The sequence below is a fragment of the Homo sapiens genome, chromosome 15, assembly GCF_000001405.40.
Source record: "Homo sapiens chromosome 15, GRCh38.p14 Primary Assembly".
Taxonomy (NCBI): domain Eukaryota; kingdom Metazoa; phylum Chordata; class Mammalia; order Primates; family Hominidae; genus Homo; species Homo sapiens.
The window spans coordinates 34892720-34911122 of NC_000015.10; the positions used below are offsets into that span (position 1 = coordinate 34892720).

General features: G+C 37.0%; 1 protein-coding gene across 1 annotated transcript in view; it reads right to left on the reverse strand.

Annotated features, from left to right (window-relative positions):
• Nucleotides 1–18403, reverse strand: part of AQR (aquarius intron-binding spliceosomal factor) — a 117961-nt gene that overhangs the window by 40938 nt on the left and 58620 nt on the right. The window contains exons 17-23 of the mRNA NM_014691.3: nt 17416–17594; nt 13826–13993; nt 11617–11786; nt 7903–8144; nt 4840–4986; nt 4178–4247; nt 944–1054 (exon numbers count right to left, since the gene is read on the reverse strand). Coding sequence (NP_055506.1) covers nt 944–1054; nt 4178–4247; nt 4840–4986; nt 7903–8144; nt 11617–11786; nt 13826–13993; nt 17416–17594 — 1087 coding nt within the window. The remainder of the gene's footprint in view (nt 1–943; nt 1055–4177; nt 4248–4839; nt 4987–7902; nt 8145–11616; nt 11787–13825; nt 13994–17415; nt 17595–18403) is intronic.

Genomic DNA, 18403 nt, shown 5'->3' on the forward strand with positions numbered 1-18403 from the left:
TATGTAAAACATGCTCAGAACACATATATTAGCTTATACCTGGGAAAAATCATCTAACACAATGTGCCTATTTTATACTGAAATGTTGACTATCTCATATAATTTATTGAATAGCGAAATAAGAGTGATAAACAGAATGGTTGTATGGGTACTTGAAGTACAATTTCTGCTGAATTCATATTGCTTTCACACCATCATAAAGTCAAAATATTACAGGTCAGAATAAAAGTCAAACCAAAAGTCAGGGACCATCTATACTAATTAGCCTTTCCTGGTATTTTGTGGTACCTATGATCAGATTTTCATACAAGGATAAATCATCTATTAATACATTCATTTCATGAATCCTCTGCTCCTTCCTTATGTTAGGAACAAGTGCTCAATGCTGCAAGGAAGAACCAGCACTCAGACAAAAAGTTTTCTCAGCAAGGCAATTTACTTCTGCAGGTGGGTGCTACCTGCGTCAGTCACGTTTGCCAAGAGCACACCGAACAAAGGAGAGAAGGGTTTCTATCCCTAATGCAGCCCCTGTATCTGTGTCCTTTCCCCATTGGCTGGAGTAAGACCGCACAATATAAACTACCCCGATTGGCTAAAACTTAAGCTTTTCTAAATATGGTCACTGCGTGATGGGGAAGCAAGGGAGAGGAGGGGGTCCTCACGGGAAACCAGGAGCTAATGCATTCCCAAATAAGGGAAGGAATGTGAGCCACAAACCAGCTGAGACTTAGGCATGCCAGAATATATTAGGGAACAGGTAGGCCAGGCTCAGAAAAATGGAGAACAAAGAATAATGAAACTAGATTTCTTGAAGAGGAACTTATTGTGTCCCACACTTACCTCCCCCTCAACCCCTAACCTGCATACCCATGTGCATGCGCATGCGTGCACACACACACACACACACACACACACACACACACACACACACACAGTCATTTACCTGATTGGAATGAGTAACAATTAGAGTCCTCTGTTCTGGGAAGTTGTGGTAGATGTTGGATATGATCTGAACTGCCACATCTGTTTTGCCTGTACCAGGTGGGCCCACAACCTAAAAAGAAGATGAACACATAGCAAACTACTAAGTCATCACAGTTATCACACATTGTTAGAAAACGTGAAGTACAGACCTGAAAGATAAAATTAACAAATTCAGTAGATGGGCCCAATAACAGAATGAACAGGATAGAAGAAGAGTTGGTGAACTTTGAGATAGATCAGTAAGCTACACAACCTGAATAACAGAAAAAAAGATTAAAAAAATAGAGACTCATGAATCTATAGAACATTAACAAGTCTAACACTCATGTCAACAAATTCTAAGACAGAAAGGAAAAAGAGTATGGCATAGACAAAATTTTAGAAAAATCATGGCTGAAAATTTCCTAAATATGGCAAAAGACATAAATCTACAGATTCAAGCAGCTCAGTGAACCCCAACAGAATAACCCCAAAGAAATCCAAGCCCAGATATACCACAATTAAATGGTTAAAAACAAAAAGCAAAGAAAAAAAAAAGTCCTGATAGCAACCACAGAAAAATGATGCATTACATATTACAAAAAGATGTTTAAAATGACTTTGGATTTGTCATCAGAAAACATGGAAGTCAGAAGGAAGTGTAATAACATTTAAAGTGCTAAAAGGAAGAACTATCAACCCACAATTCTATCTCCAGGTAAAATATCTTTTAAGAAGATGAATTAGAGACATTCTTGCATGAAGAAAAACAAAACTAACTCATATCTAGTAGACATGTTATAAAAAGTGGTTTTTGTTTTTGTTTTTTTAAAAAGTTCTTCAGACAGAAAATGCTACCAGAGGAAACTTGGAATATCTGGAATGTAGAATAAATGGCAAATATAATAAGAGGCTATTTTTTTCCTCTAGAGTTCTTTAAAATATGTGTACAGTTGAAAGCAAAAATTCTACTACTATCTGATGGTATCTTAAAGTATTTAGATGTAGCACATAAAACAACTACAATACAAAAGGGGAAGGAAGGTAAAGGAAACTTTATGGGAGTAAGTATTTGCCAATCAACCTGAAGTGACATAATACTGATTGTAAGTAGGCTATGAAAAGTTAAATATATTGCAAATCCCTAAAGCAGCCACTAAGAAAACACTACACCCAAAAATATAATGAAAGAATATGATAGGCCAGGCACAGTGGCTCACACCTGTAATCTCAGCACTTTGGGAGGCTGAGGCAGGCAGATCACTTGAGGCCAGGAGTTCAAGACCAGCCTGGCCAACACAGTGAAACCCAATTCTCTACTAAAAATACAAAAATATCAGCTGGCCGTGGTGGTGCACACCTGTAATCCCAGCTACTCAGGTGGCTGAGGCACAAGAATCACTTGGAAAGCAGAGGTTGCAGTGAGCTAAGATGGTGCCACTACACTTCAGCCTGGGCTAAAAAGTAAGACTGTCTCAAAAAAAAAAAAAAAAAAAAAAAAAAAAATATATATATATATATATATATATATATATATATGAAACAAATAAAAACATAATACTCAAAACTATTCAAATAACACAACGGAAGGCATGAAAAGGGAAACAGAAGAATACAAAATAAAGGGAACAAATAGAAAATAAATAAAAATGATAGGCCTAAATCCAAATGTGTCCTTTAATTTGCATTAAATGTGAATAGTCTAAACACGCAAGTTGAAAGACAGAGAGTCTCAGAATGGATAAAGCAACATACCTAAAGTATATGCTGTTTATAAGAAACTCACCTCAAATATAACGACAAGTAGAAGTAAAATGACAGAAAAAGAAATATCGTGCAAACACCACTTAAAAGAAAGCTGCAGTAACGATATTAATATCAGACAAAGTAGACTTCAGAGCAAAGAAAACTTCCATCAATGAAGACAGACATTACATAATAATAAATGGGGCCAATTCACCAAGACAACATAACAACCCTAAAGGTGTGAAGCACTTATCCATGAAGCTTCAAAATACATTAAGCAAAAATTGACAGAACTAAAGGAGAAATAGACAAATTCATAATTACAGTGAGAGACTTCAATAGTCTGCTTTCAGTAATCAACAAAACAACAGACAGAAAATCAGCAATAATAGAGAAAAATTAAATAATAACATCAACAAAATGGATCTAATCAACATTTATAGCACAACCTACTCCAGAACAACAGAATACACATTCTTTTCAAGTACACATGAAATAGTCACCAAGAGAGATCATATGCTGGGCCATAAAACAAATTTTAACAAATTTAAAAAGCAAAAACCAAAAAATTAAAATCATACAATACATTCTCTGACCAAAATAGACTTTGACCAGAAATCAATAACTGGAAGATTACAGGGAAACCTCCAAATACTTAAAAATTAAACACACTTCTAAATCAGTTGTCAGCAGACTCTTTCTGTAAAGAGCCAGAGAGGAAGCATTTTCGGCTTTGCAGGCTAAGCAATCTCTGTTGCAAGTACTGATCTCTGCCATTGCAGCACAAAAGTGGCCATAAGCAATGCAGAAAACAAGTGGATGATATATTTGCTAATTACCCTGATTTGATCATTACACAATGTATACAGTCATCAAAACATCACATCATACCCCATAAATAAGTACAATCATGTCAATTAAAAATAAAACAAAACTTTTAAAAAATGGGCAGTCATGTTCTAATAAAACTTTATGAACACTGAAGCGAGCAGCAAGATCTCTAAATGCATAAGAACCTACACTTACTTGTAAACGCTTAAATTCAGCGGGGTTGCTGTACTTGAAATAGAACGCATTCTAAAATCTGTTACTTACTTCTAGTCTTAATCTATGTTAAAAAAAAAAAAAAAAAGGTGTGGCTGAGTGCGGTGGCTCACGCCTGTAATCCCAACACATTGGGAGGCCGAGGCAGGTGGATCACCTGAGGTCAAGAGTTCGAGACCAGACTGGCCAACATGGCAAAACCCTGCCTCTACTAAAAATACAAAAAATTAGCCAGGCATGGTGGCGGGTACCTGTAATCTCAGCTACTTGGGAGGCTTAGGCAGAAGAATCACTTGAACCTGGGAGGCAGAGGCTGCAGTGAGCTGAGATCGCGCCACTGCACTCCGGCATGGGCAACAAAAGTGAAACTCCATCTCAGAAAACAAACAAACAAACAAACAAACAGGTGTAACAATTCTCTTACCATAGTCAGCCCAGGCTGCATTCCAGCACGGATGGCTTCTATCTGTGTATGAGTGAACTGAATCGTATTACTGCAAATAAGAGTAAATAAAAAGTTGGTACAGATAAATGATGCTTTGTATAATACAAATTTAGACAACAATGACCAGTGGTCTAAATATCTGCTCTGTATTTACCCCAGTTCTCTCAATCTCTTCTGAATGACTCCCTTCACCTCTACCCCTCAACACAGACAATTAAAATGGAATTATAGTTATTTTTCGGGACTTAGCCCATCCCAGACCTCATTTGGAGTGCCAAAGTTCTAGTTTCCATTCTAATACTAAATATAATGCCAATTTACTAGTTATGGCACACATGCATTAGGGCTACTGCTATATGTAACACAGGCTCATGAAGTAAGAACCCTTTGCTCAAATTAAGGTAGACCTCTAACATTTATTTCTCATAGTACCTGAAAATGTTTCTTTTTGAAATATTATGACTACAGAATGGCCTAAAATGTCAGTTATTCAGCTGACTGACAGAATAGAAAGAAAGAGGGTTCAGAAACAGGAGTTTTGTGGAGTTTTAAAAGAAACAGAAAATTTAAAAACATTCCTAATCCAGTTGAAATGGCAAACTATTGTTCATCATTACAATTATAATAGGTAGTAAAATTACCGTTTGGGTTGATTATAAGGATAAGGACCCCTATTAGGAATAACATGGGGCTCAACAATTAAGGTTTTTGCTTCCTCGGTGTCTTCATCTTCCACATCCGCATCTTTCCTTTTCTTCCCTTTTCCACTTCTTACTGGAAAAGTTATCCTACAAGACCAAAACTTCTGTTCATTTTTGCAATTAACAAGGATTTACTGAGTACCTATCTGGTGCATGACATTGTATGCACGATAATCAGAGGAGTAAGAAACATTTCTGGCTTAAAGGAACGATATCTGTATGTAAACTCTGAAAATGGTCGAGTTACAAGCCCTAACGTGTGTTGGGAGTTTTCAAATTTAAAAAAGTCACCCAGTTAACGGAGAATTACGGGAGAATTTAAAGAAACATTAAATATTATCTCATGTGCATTGTAAAGTGTTTTATTCATTGTCTGTCCTTCATTTAATCAGAAAAAAATTTCATGGGACAGATGGCATCTAAGATGAGTCTCAAAGAATTTAGACATTCAAAGACGGGAAGAGAAGACATTCCTGGAAGAAAGAAGCAACAGCAGAGGCCAAGTACAAGCAGCGTATTTCGCCTGGGCATAGGGTAGAGAAAAATAAGGCTGAAGAGACAGAAGCCTTGTTATGACAGGAACCTTATAATGACATGTCTAGAATATGAAGCTTTTAAGGCAGAGGGTCATAACCTGGGGTTAGGAGGTAACTCCCCACAGATACCTCAGGGAAGTCAATGAACTCCCTAAAATTGAACTAAAAAATTCATTCTCTATGTGTACTTTTTCCAGTTGTCTTTCACATTCTAAAAAAATAGATAACACCAAAGAATGCTAAGAGCCAATGAGGCTAAGTGGTCAGCACTTATTTTGGTAAGAAATAGGAGCATATCAGCTTTTTAGCTAGGCAGTGAATAGCTCTAGCAGTAAACCATGTAATGGATTCTAGTGAGGTGAGACAGGGAGGAAAGATTTTGCTATCATAAAGACTGCTGAGGGCCTAAAGAGGGAGCAGTACAAATGGCACATGAAAAAACTATCCTCGGCCAGGCGCGTTGGCTCACACCTGTGATCCAGCACTTTGGGAGGCCGAGGCGGGTGAATCACGAGGTCAGGAGATCGAGACCATCCTGGCTAACACGGCGAAACCCCATCTCTACTAAAAATACAAAAAATTAGCCGGGCGTGGTGGCGGGCGCCTGTAGTCCCAGCTACTCAGGAGGCTGAGGCAGGAGAATGGCGTGAACCCGGGAGGCAGAGCTTGCAGTGAGCCAAGATGGAGCCACTGCACTCCAGCCCGGGTGACAGAGCGAAAAAACTATCCTTGGCCGGGCGCGGTGGCTCACGCCTGTAATCCCAGCACTTTGGGAGGCCAAGGTGGGTGGATCACGAGGTCAGCAGATCGAGACCATCCTGGCTAACACGGTGAAACCCTGTCTCTACCAAAAATACAAAAAAAAAATTGCCAGGCGTGGTGGCGGGCGCCTGCAGTCCCAGCTACTCCGGAGGCTGAGGCAGGAGACTGACGTGAACCCGGGAGTCGGAGCTTGCAGTGAGCAGAGACGGCGCGCCACTGCACTCCAGCCTGGGCGACAGAGCAAGACTCCATCTCAAAAACAAAAAAAAAATCCAAAAAACTATCCTCAAGGCAGAATCTCTGAGATATAGCAGGAGTTTTATGGGAGTAAAAAGATTCAAAAATAATGCTGAGATTTCAAGATGCAGGAGTAGAAAAATGTCTTTGCCATAAATAGGATTAGGAAAGTATGGAGGGAGACTAGGTTTGGGTGTATAAAGGATACGTATATTTAAAATGTAGAATTAATTATTATTTTGGGATAGAGTCTCGCTCTGTCTCACCCAGGCTAGAGTGCAGTGGTGTGATCATAGCTCACTGCAGCCTCACACTCCTGGGTTCACGTGATCCTCCCACCTCAGCTTCCCGAATAGCTGGGACTGTAGGCACACACCAATCTTGCTAATTTTTTTTTTTTTAATAGAGATGAGGTCTCAGTTGCCCAGGGTGGTCTGGAATTCCTGGCCTCAAGCAATCCTCCCAACTTCACCTCCCAAAGTGTTGGGATTACAGGTATGAGCCACCACACCTGGCCTATTATTATATATATATATATATACAGTTGAAAGCTGTGTGTTTTCTAATTTCTAGGCAAGAAAGTAATCTGTGGGCTACCACCCATAGGTATACTCAGTGCCTTACCACTAATCCATATGAAGGAATTCAGGGAATAACAACCAATTATTTCAGGTACTTTGTTCTGTTTTCACTTAAATTTTAAGACCAGACCTAATTTAAGATTAAATATGACTATTGTATTTATTTTATTTATTTAGAGATGAGGTCTTCCTCTGTCACCCAGGCTGGAGTACAGTGGCACAACCATAGCTTACTACAGACTTAAACGCCTGGGTTCACACAATCCTCCTGCCTCAGCCTCCTGAGTTCCTGAAATTACAGGTGTGCGCCACCATGCCCAGCTACTTTTTTGAATTTTTTTAGAGATGGGGTCTCGCTATGTTGCCCAGGCTGGTTTTGAATTCGTGGCCTCAAGCAGTCCTCCCGCCTTAGCCTCTGAAGTCACTGGGATTATATGCATGAGCCATCATACCCAGCTATATTATGAACATTTCAAATTTGTGAAAGCACGCAAAGTTAAAAGAAAAAAAGATTTTTTTCCTAAAAACAAAGTTCAACATCACACAGCTGCATTAGTTGAGAAACATACCAGACTATGCATAACTGCCAAGACATATTTTAGTCAAATGCTATAAATATATTTATATAGTTCTCTTCAGACAATAAGTATTTATTGATCCCTTATTAGGTATTAGACTACTTTTACTGTGGTCTTAAAACAACTTCTGCAGTAAGAAATAGATTCAAATATAATAAAGTTATCCCAGTGATTGTATGGTGAAGGTAGGGACTGCTAAAACAAAATCCAAATATAGTACTCAAAACTCACTTTAGCTAACAATCCTGATGGCATAACGTACATTGACTACAGAATGCTGGAGAGGAGCGTACCCAGTTCTGACTTTACCTGAAAGGGGGTATTTGTAGAGCAGGGTCTTCTACAGTTACTTTAACATTATGACCAGGGAAGCTGGCTTTTAAATGCTCAATGGAGAGAAATGTATCATTGAAATCAAGGGTGGCAATCTGATTGGGCATTTTCGAATAATGTGCACTACTTGGGTCCCCATAACCTAAAATGATATCGTGCAGCCAGTCAGGTACCACACAATCAGTATTCATCAGGTTCCGAATAGTCTCCAGCACAGCCTGTCAGTAAAAGGACAGAAAAAGATTGTGTCAGTATGACATCTCCAACATTTGCACTTACTGGAATGCAGAGCTGGCTGCACTAATCCAGAATTCCCGAGTGTTTCAGAGCAAGAAGCTATTTTCCGCTGGCTGACAGGTGCTTGGCTAGACTGAATCAACAGCTATATTTTCAGCTGATACCACACACTGAGTTAAACAAAAGACCAAACTTAGCAAGAACAGTTTATCCGTTAAGAGTTCGCTTAGACAGAATGACATAAATAAATTTACCATTTGACTCCTATTGAGTAGGATGAAAACCAGACTCAGGTGGACACAGCAGTAAAAAAAACAATATAGAACAAACCCTTAAAGAAAATACTTCCTCTCAGTAACTCCTGGAATTTTTCCCTCTTTATATTCCATAGTTCTTTAATGCTAAAGTCACCCACAACCAGAAGCACATTAATGTATGCTTCAATTGTGATGAAACGTCACAACTTAGAAATATTAAAATTAAGACTGTGAGAAGAAATAAAAAAGCGAACAAAATGATAAAAATAAAGGAAATATCAAATAAAATTTCAGAAGGAAAGAATCAGGACTACAACAAAAGGTCATTATAGTAGTTAGCATATATGCTGTCAAAAATAATTACAAAAAGCCAAGGGAAATTCTTAGACTTTCCAAAAATCATTTCAACAAAGTGAGCTATCTCACATATAGAAATTTGGAGGCTAGGCTATTAATTTCAAAGAATAAAATAACCAAACCGACCATTTTTAAATCATAACTGTTATACAACTTTTGAAAACGATAAGATAGTATATGTTAATCACACCCTTAATCATGTTGCCTTGCTTTATGTTCTTACACTTACCAGTACCTGACATTCTCTTGTTCAGGTACTTGGTTATTTGTTTTATCCCTACTATCCCTACTATCATTTGTTTAATCCCTACTAAAATATAATTCCCACAAGAGTAGGGATCTAGAACAGTTTAAATATGGAATGGGTGAATGAATGAATACCCAAATGAGTATATTCACCTAACAATGATGAATAAGATCAGGGCTCTGCCCTCTAAGGAAATTACAGTTTTAGTAGCAAGATAAAATATGTCCTTAACTGTAACACAAAGCAGCAGAATGGTAAATAGTAAAGAATGTTACAAAATACAGTGGGAACAAAGTTCACAGTAAATCAGAGAGATGGATGCAGGGGACACTTAACATTAGGAAAGGTTTCATGGAGGAAAGTGGCATTTTTATTGAACTCAAGTAAAAGATTTGTGAAGGAGCTTTGATTTATTTCATCATGAATAGAAAGTCAAAGAAATGTTCTGAGAGGGAGAGTAAAATGATCAGTGTCACACAGTAGGAGGAAACATGAAAAACAGGTGACTGGCTATGAGGAGACTCAAGGGTAGACAAAGAGGAGGCTACTATAACTGTCTAGGCAAAAAATAAAGTATCCAGATTAGGACAGGTTGTACAAACTGGAAAAGAGAAAAGGCAATAAATGAGAGATGCTACACAGATACATAATGAAACACCAAAGAAACCAAAAGAGCATTCTTTTTTTCCTAAACATAGGCAAGTTAATCATTCCCCCTCTTTCTTGGATCAGAAACTAAATGCCTCCTTTGAACTTTCAGGACACTTTTATCCACAGGCTTTTTATGGCTTTTGGTACCTTCTAACTGTTCATGGTAGGCATCTGTCTATATTTCTAGCTTCTCTAAAGGTGTAAGTTGTGTCTGATTCATCTTCATAAGCTTCATCTTAGCACAATATCTGACTTACAGTAGGCACTAAATAGTCAAACAAATGAATATAAGAAAACAATGTTTTAGTTTTCAGTGAAGTAACTGAGATTTATTTACTGAAAACTGACCAACTGTGACAGTCAAAGGTACTATAAAACTTGGAAACTCTTAGATTTCTCCATCCTTCGATCACTCAATAAATGTTTATTAAGAACATACTATATAACAGGCACAGTTCTAGGTGCTAAGGATACACTGGCAGACAAAACAAAGACCCTGCCCTCATAGACTTGCTTGCTTCATTGCTTTCTAATGAAGAATTCAGATACATAACAAATGTATAATCATCAGTTATGATACAGGCTCTGAGGAAAAATAAAGGTAATAGGGTAGAAAATGATGAGAAGGGAAGATGCTACTTTAGGTAAGGTTGCCAGGGAAGGCTTCTCTTAGGAGGTGACATTGAAAAACAGTTGCCCATGTCAGGTGAGGAAAAGAACTATGTAAATACCTGGGGATAATTACCTAAGTAAAAGGAACACCATGTGAAAAGTCTTGGATTATTTTAAAAAACAGCAAAAAGGACAGTGTGACTGACATGGAGTGAATAGGAAAAAGTGTTAGAAAATGATGTTGGAGAGGACACCAGAAGACAGATAATGAGAGGGCCTTTTGGATTATGGTAGGAACTTTCTAATGTGATGGGAAACCATTAAAGAATGTTAAGTGGGGGTATCAAATCAAGGTATACTTCACATTTTAAAAGGATTATTCAGCCATTATGTGGACATGTGTAAGGGGAGGAATAGACAAGAAAGGAGGCAGGGATATGAGAGATAAAGGTGTCCTGGACATGGCATCAGCAGAGGTGATGAGCTAATCAGACTTACTGATAGATTAGAGGTAGAGTATGAGATAAAGAGAAATTAAGGATATCTCCATTTGTGTTCAACAACAGGGAGAGATGAAGAACAAGTTCTGCTGTTCAAAAGATTTTCTTAAAAAATCACAACAACAGGGTTACATAAAAGTAATAAAATGATAGGAATGTCTAAGAAGTACTGCACTTTGGGAGAAAGAGAAAAGAAAGGCACTCTTTCTGCAAAAGCTACATGTATCAAATGCTAGAACTGTTCAATGTTTAAGTTTTATAATATAGTTTCAAATAATGGTTTTTAAAACTATCCTTTACTAAAACTCTTCTCCCCACAAAGTTATTCTAAAAGTAGAACTTTGAGCCACCAAACCTCCCTTTCCTACTAATGAGTAAAAATATATTATAACGTATAGTAATTCAGAGCCTTGAGATTCCATATCTGTATTCTTAAAGTGACCTGGAAGTATACCTACTTTTGATTCAAAAAAGAAGCCCCAGTAAACAAGTAAGCAAGTTTTCTTCACTTCATAATAGGGCATTAACTGAATACCTAATATACAAAAAGCAAAAAAGGAGGTGGACCTTTAGAATAACACTTGGATTCATCTATATTTTAAGTTTTTAAACTCCTCAAAAGACAAAATAGATTTAAGAAATCAATTTCTTTAAATTTTTATATTTCATCATTTTGTTAAAAGTTTAAGAGGATTGCTTATAGTAAAAATAAAAGCAGTCATTATTTTTTTCTTAACAAATCTTCCTCTAACCAAATATCTCTGTATTTATGTCATAAAAGTTACTTAAATTATGACATAGTACTTTTAGTTACATACCCCCAAATTACCTTAAAGTTATTTTCCTTTGGTTTTCTCCTCATTATTATATTAAAAGTTTCATACACATCCTCTGCTCCATTTTGTATAGTATTGGTCATATCTTGTTGATACTGGTTTGGATCCAAAAACACTCTAAATGTCCTTGATTCTCCTCTAAGATTGGGTCTGGGTTCAGGTCCTGGACAATTTGAAAAAGTTTGTTAAATAAAATATGTATTTTTCAAATATCAAAATAAGTTAACAGTATTTCTTTTCTAGAAATGGTGAGTAAATGGTTCAGGCTTAACTCCAACCATTCTTCCCAAAGTAGAATGCCCTCCACTCACCCACTTCAAATTCTAAGATGCTGAAAGTATTTTCTTCTTTCTCTAAATTCTTACTATTTCCTTCCATAGCAGTCATGTAATGTTTACGATGCAACACCATGACTTGCAATAATTTGTACACACACTCAACTAAAATAGGAGTACTTAGAAGTCAAAGAACTTATCTTTACTTTTGTCACTCATAGCTCCCACTACTGCCTTACATATAGTAAGTATTCAATAAATATTTTCTAATTAAATATATGTATTTTAGAATTTAAGGCATAGTTTTCTATTCATTAATTCCTTAATTTGACAGAGGTTCATCACTTTTCTCATCCTTCCACATTCCATACCTAGTATAACCAGCATGAAAAGAAATTTCACATACACAGAAATGTAGGATACTAATGGTTGAAAGCCCAGAGCCTTTTCTTTCCTCTCTGACATATCTCCTCTTTTTTGGGGGGGGTGGGGGGAAGGGGGGGTCTTAGACCTCGAACTTTGGTTCCATTATGTGGCCTTATGCTTATTCCATCCATTTTCCATTCCCTTCTCCTATTTCCTCTCATTCTAGAGATAAATAACTTAATCATCAGCAGTTTAGCAATGATATAATCTCTAAACCACAGATAGCATAAACTGACTAAAGTTTCAAAAGAAGTACAACAACCAAATTGTAAAATAAGCACTAGACATGTATGCAGTTGTAATTTAATAATAAGTATTATAAAGGAAGTCAGGACAACAGAAGAAAGAATTTCAAAGGGATAATAAGTGATACACATAAGAAATCAAATAACTGACTAATTTTGTAAAGCAGTGTTTTTAAATGCGGTAAAGTTGGCATCTTATGCAGGATAATTCCTTCTTTTATTTCTGTTCAGATGTTTAGCATCCTTGGCTCACAGTTACCTAATGCCAAGAGCCTGCCATTCCTCACCTCTATCCCGGTCATTTGAAAACCTAAATATCACTATGCATTTTCAAACGCAGGACAGTATTGTTCCCAATTAAGAACCACCACTACAATGAATTAAAATAGTCAAATTTAAGAAGAAAAAATATATCATTGAACACAAAAAAGCTTGGACAACTGTAAGAGATATTTAGAGTGTTTCTTAAAAAAAATATGGTAAAGTATTACATATTTTAAAAAGCTTTGAATAAAGATGATTTCAAAAGATCCTGTCCCAGAGTTCGAGACCAGCCTGGCCAACATGGTGAAACTCTGTCTCTACTAAAAATACAAAAATTAGCCAGGCGCGGTGGCAGGCACCTGTAATCCCAGCTACTGGGGTGGCTGAGGCAGAATTGCTTGAACTTGGGAGGCAGAGGTTGCAGTGGGCCAAGATCGCGCCACTGCACTCCAGCCTGGTTGACAGAGCAAAACTCCGTCTTGGGGGGAAAAAAAGAAAAAGATCCTGTCCTTTCCAATATCTAACATAGAAGTTCTGAAACTGTCTGGGTGTGGTGGCGGCTCATGTCTGTAATCCCAGCACTTTGGGAGGCCGAGGCAAGTGGAGTGCTTGATCTCAGGAGTTTGAGACCAGCCTGGGCAACATGGGGAAACCCCATCTCTACAAAAATTAACCGGGCATGGTCGCACGTGCCTATGGTCCCAGCTACTAGCAGGGCTGAGGCTGGAGAATCGCATGAACCCAGGAGGCAGAGGTTGCAGTGAGCCGAGATTGTGCCACTGAACTCCAGCCTGTGTGACACAGTGAGAAACCATGTTACCTATATCTAAAACTGCACGGTAGGTACCCTACACATATTTGATACAAAATCCTTTGTGTCAATTTAGTAGGTAAAAGAACTAAAAAATATTACCTAAGAAGCAAAAAGGGAAAAAGGCAAAGAAATTTATCATTCTATACACATACTCTTTCAAAAATATAGGTCACCATACCATCTTCAATGACACGTCCTTTATCATCCAGCATGCCCTGAATTTCACAGCCTCTGACATAAACCAGGCCAACCTGCTCAATAAAAGGTCTCCTCCGGTCAAACTTAGTGCCATAAGGTTTTGTGGGACGTACGGTAATTAAAAAGCATACATCATGCTTACGAAGACCTGGTAAGATATAAAGACATTTTCATTTATTAGAATTTCATTGTTTTCAGTCTTTTGTAGGCAAATTCTTATTTGCCTCTCTACCTCTTATCTTTGGTAGAGAGATACCGTTGAGTGACCAATGATTATTATCGCATTGTAACACAATTATGGGCTTTTCTATAATCTTTAATACTCAATATTTCATAGCATTAATTGAAATGAAAACTTCTTTATATTAAAATTAGAAACATTCATGCCATGAATATATTACTGAATAAGCCCTCCAAGTCATGCTACAGCTCCAAAATTGGATGTTCGTCATCATTCTTATTTTTAACAATCTTAATAAGTAACCAAAAATATGGCTGGCATATAATCCATCTATAGCATATTTAGCAGGTTTTTAATATCAGTTTAAACTATCTATCAGTGTCATTCCAAAGACAGCCTAATTGTATTTCACTAAAACAGGTCAACTCAAGAATAATTAATCAAGGCAAAAAAGTATTGTTTACAGGTATGATCTTGAGAAAGATGGCTGAATATATACAGTTTCAGTTGGCAAATCGTGAACATTTTTATAAGTGAATGTCAAGAAAAAGGAGACTTGTGCCAGAGTCCACAGCTTCTTGGTCACTAGACCCAATAAAGAACTCAAATGGCTTCCCAGCTCTATTAAAAGTAGAGAAACTGGAAGACAAGGATTATAAAATTAGACCTCACAGCATGTAATGCTACACCACTTAATCTTCATTCCATTTCTGATGTTTTTGTTAGCCATTACATGACATAAATGTAAATGTAAACAGTCTGCTTGCTCACAACCTTGTTAACAACAAACACAATGAAATCAAATCAACAATGTGGGCATATGGCTAATAGTACTGAAAATATTTTGGTTTGTTTTAATTGGGGGACTGGTTAGAGTATGGGTAAAGGTAGAAATAATAACTCTATTCATAATACTGACTTAATTATTTCCCAATAAATTCTATGCAAAGCAGCAAGAGAAGTAATGAGAATGAATGGGAATCATCCTACTCTCTGAGTTGTACTACCTGTGTGATGTCTGATCTGCACAGCTCATTAAAACTTCTAAGTCTTACAGCCAAAGAAGTGGTCCTGAGAAGTCATTTATCCTCTCCCAAGATAGGAGTTACTTTTTGGCATCACTGAGGGATGACCTCTTGTTCCTTCCTAAAACAAACCACTTTACTCTGGGACATCTTAGATCCACATTTTTTAAAATCCTATATGTCTCTCTCCTTGCAACCATTTGTATCCACCCTATCCTAGCTGTGCTTTCTGGAGCAAATCTGGCATTTCCATTTCATGAATTCTGTTTCCTTAACTTTAAATGAGAATATTGAAGAAGATAAGGGCTTGAGGTTCACACCTTTTCAAAGGGACAAAAGGAATGTTTTATGGTATTTAGTTTAATAATCTTTAAAATTTACTTTTATAAAACAATATTCAGCTGGGCACGGTGGCTCACGCCTGTAATCCCAGCACTTTAGGAAGCTGAGGCAGGTGGATCACAAGACCAGCCTGGCCAAGATGGTGAAACCCCGTCTCTACTAAAAATACAAAAAATTAGCTGGGCGTGGTGGCGGGTGCCTGTAATCCCAGCTACTCGGGAGGCTGAGGCAGAGAATTGTTTGAACCCAGGAGGTGGAGGTTGCAGTGAGCCGAGATTGTGCCACTGCCCTCCAGACTGGGCGACAGAGTGAGACTCCGTCTAAAAAAAAAAAAAATGTATTATTGTTTACAGAATCTCTCCTTTTTACTCCATTTTCTATTTGGCTACCCTATCTGTGATCAATATAGGGGCTGGTTTTTGGCCCAGGCCTCCCATAAAACACTTTTCTCTCCATCATACCCCAGATTATCACTCATCCCACAATACCCTATTGTGCCCTATCTTGCCCATCAAAATGTACCCTGTCCAGTTCTCATTCTACCAGAGGCTGATGTTTAAAAGAAAAAAAGACTGTCTCATGTCCTTCTGAAAGCAGTCAGTAATGGGGGAAGTGGCCTGTTTTTAAACATCCTTTTGTTTTCCTTAACACCAAAATGCAGACCTCTCATCTATAAATTCCTATAGAGTCCTTTAAAATAAACAAAATTCCAACTATCTACTACTTCTGGGGGTACCCAGTAAGTTATCTCAGTTTATTACCCACAGTGTTTAATATCTCCTTAAGCTTCAAGGAATAATAAATATGAGACCTTCTCCAGCAACTTAATGGCTTTCTCGAGGCTCAGCAATAATAAAGGTGCACATTAGTCTAGATGAGTAATATACCAGGATGGAACTCTTTTGAAGGATACAAGGGTTATAAAACAATCTGTCATAAACTATACCCGCTACAGTAGGCATTTGTTAAACATTTGGCTAGCTTTGTTGCTGGATTCCTTCAGAATTCTTTGATATAGTTCCCATGATTATAAACAGCTACACTGGTAGTAATAATTTCTGAAAACAGATCCATTAAGGGACATCCTTTCCTTCTGGCATGCCAAGAAGGTAAAAGGAGGTAAAACCTACTGACTACTGTTTCTCAAAACAGGGCTTTAAGTAAGACCTCTCACAGGACAGCTGGGAGAAAAATATAAAACTGCCTATTAGAAATCAGTTCATATGTCACTTCTGGCAGAGGTCTTATTGATGTTTTAACTCTATTGGACTTAGTAATTTTGAACATATCTGCCTCCAAAACAAATTAATTTTGACATGGAACTCTAATCCTTAAAATCTTGCCTAGCAAAAATAGGAGGAATAACTCCTTTAATTTCTTTGCAATTATTATATATCCTTGACTACATTTGACTTCACTGACTCTTTATCCTTTCTGCCTTAGGCGCAAATAAACTATTATTTATTTCTGAATTGTTTCACTATAGCCCTGCCCACCCCCACATATTCTTTTTAAGCTTGCCTAATTTTTATTTTCCACAAAGTGTATGTATTTCTATTTTTTTCACCTTGGCTACTTTTATCTTTTGAAAAATACCAATTTTCCTTACTGCTCTGCATGTTTGTATGTTATATGTGGGCTTTCTCCCTGCTCTTTGGTGAACACTAATATTTTTATTCTTTTATATTGATGCCAGAAATCCATAAATATTATTTTGCTAAATTTAAGACTTAAAATGCTCTCCTCTAGGCTTTGCAAACTTCAGTTTTCAAAACGTTGATATGTATGCAATTTTATACTTTTTATTAAAGTATTAAGATACCTAAATATTCTTGTATGATCCCTGGTATTTTTAAAACTAATAATTAGAAAAAAAGTTGCTATTCTTTAAATCAAATTTCAAGGATAACGCTTAATAAAAGCTTTAAAGGATAACATTTAGTAAAAGTACTTTGTTAATGCTCTAAGTGAAAGTTCATAACAAGGCAAAAGGTAATGTCACTTTTTGAAATACAAACTTACCTTCCCATTCATCTTTGATGTGATCTCTGACATTGAGATTTATGGTAACATCTGCACGAACTCGGGTTGGCCAGTTTTCACCTATGTTGGGTTTGGCCACTTCAACGACAGTGAAAGCCACAATGGGCTGGGCCATTCGCGCCCAACCACCAAACACTACACCGCCATATTCAGATTGCCTGAAACCAAAGAAATGGATGATTACTCAAACAAAAAATAATTTATCCCCAACTTTTAGACAAGTTAAAACTAGTAAGTAGGAATACTGTTCAGCTAGTATTTAAGTCCTAATATTAGTAACTCTTATTTCTTAACTTAAAAAAAAGAAAACCTTTAACTCTCAAAGTATGCAAAGTATATAAGATAGCATGAAACAGGGATATGATAGCATGAAACAGGCAAACATGGTCCAGAAAAGAAAGAGAAGTAGAGGAATATCTCCTCTCCAACCTAAGAAAAAAGCTAACCCTATGTACATAAGAGCATTCTGGGGCTGAGCCATTTTATCAAAGAAATAAATAATCCAGCACACTTAGTTTTATTTCAGCTTTATTGACGTATACTTGACAAATAAAAATTGTATATAGTTAAGGAATACAATGTGATGTTTTAAACTATGTATACACTGTGATATCATTACCAACACAGTTAGCATTTTTTGTGTGTGTGGTAAGAATACTTAAGATCTATCCTGTCAAGTTTCAAGTACATAAAACATTAATTATAGTCACTATACTTTACATTAGATCTCCAAACTTATGTATCTTGTAACTGAAAGTTTAGACCCTTTGACCAACATGACCCCATTTTCCCCACCTACAACCTGATAACTGCCCTTCTACTGCTTCTATGAATTTGCCTTTTTTAGATTCCATATGTAAAGTGAGATAATCAGTTTTTGTCTATCTGTATCTGGCTTAATACATTTAGCATAATGTACTCCTGGTTTATCCATGTTGTCAAAAAAAGGATTTCCTTCTTTTTAAAA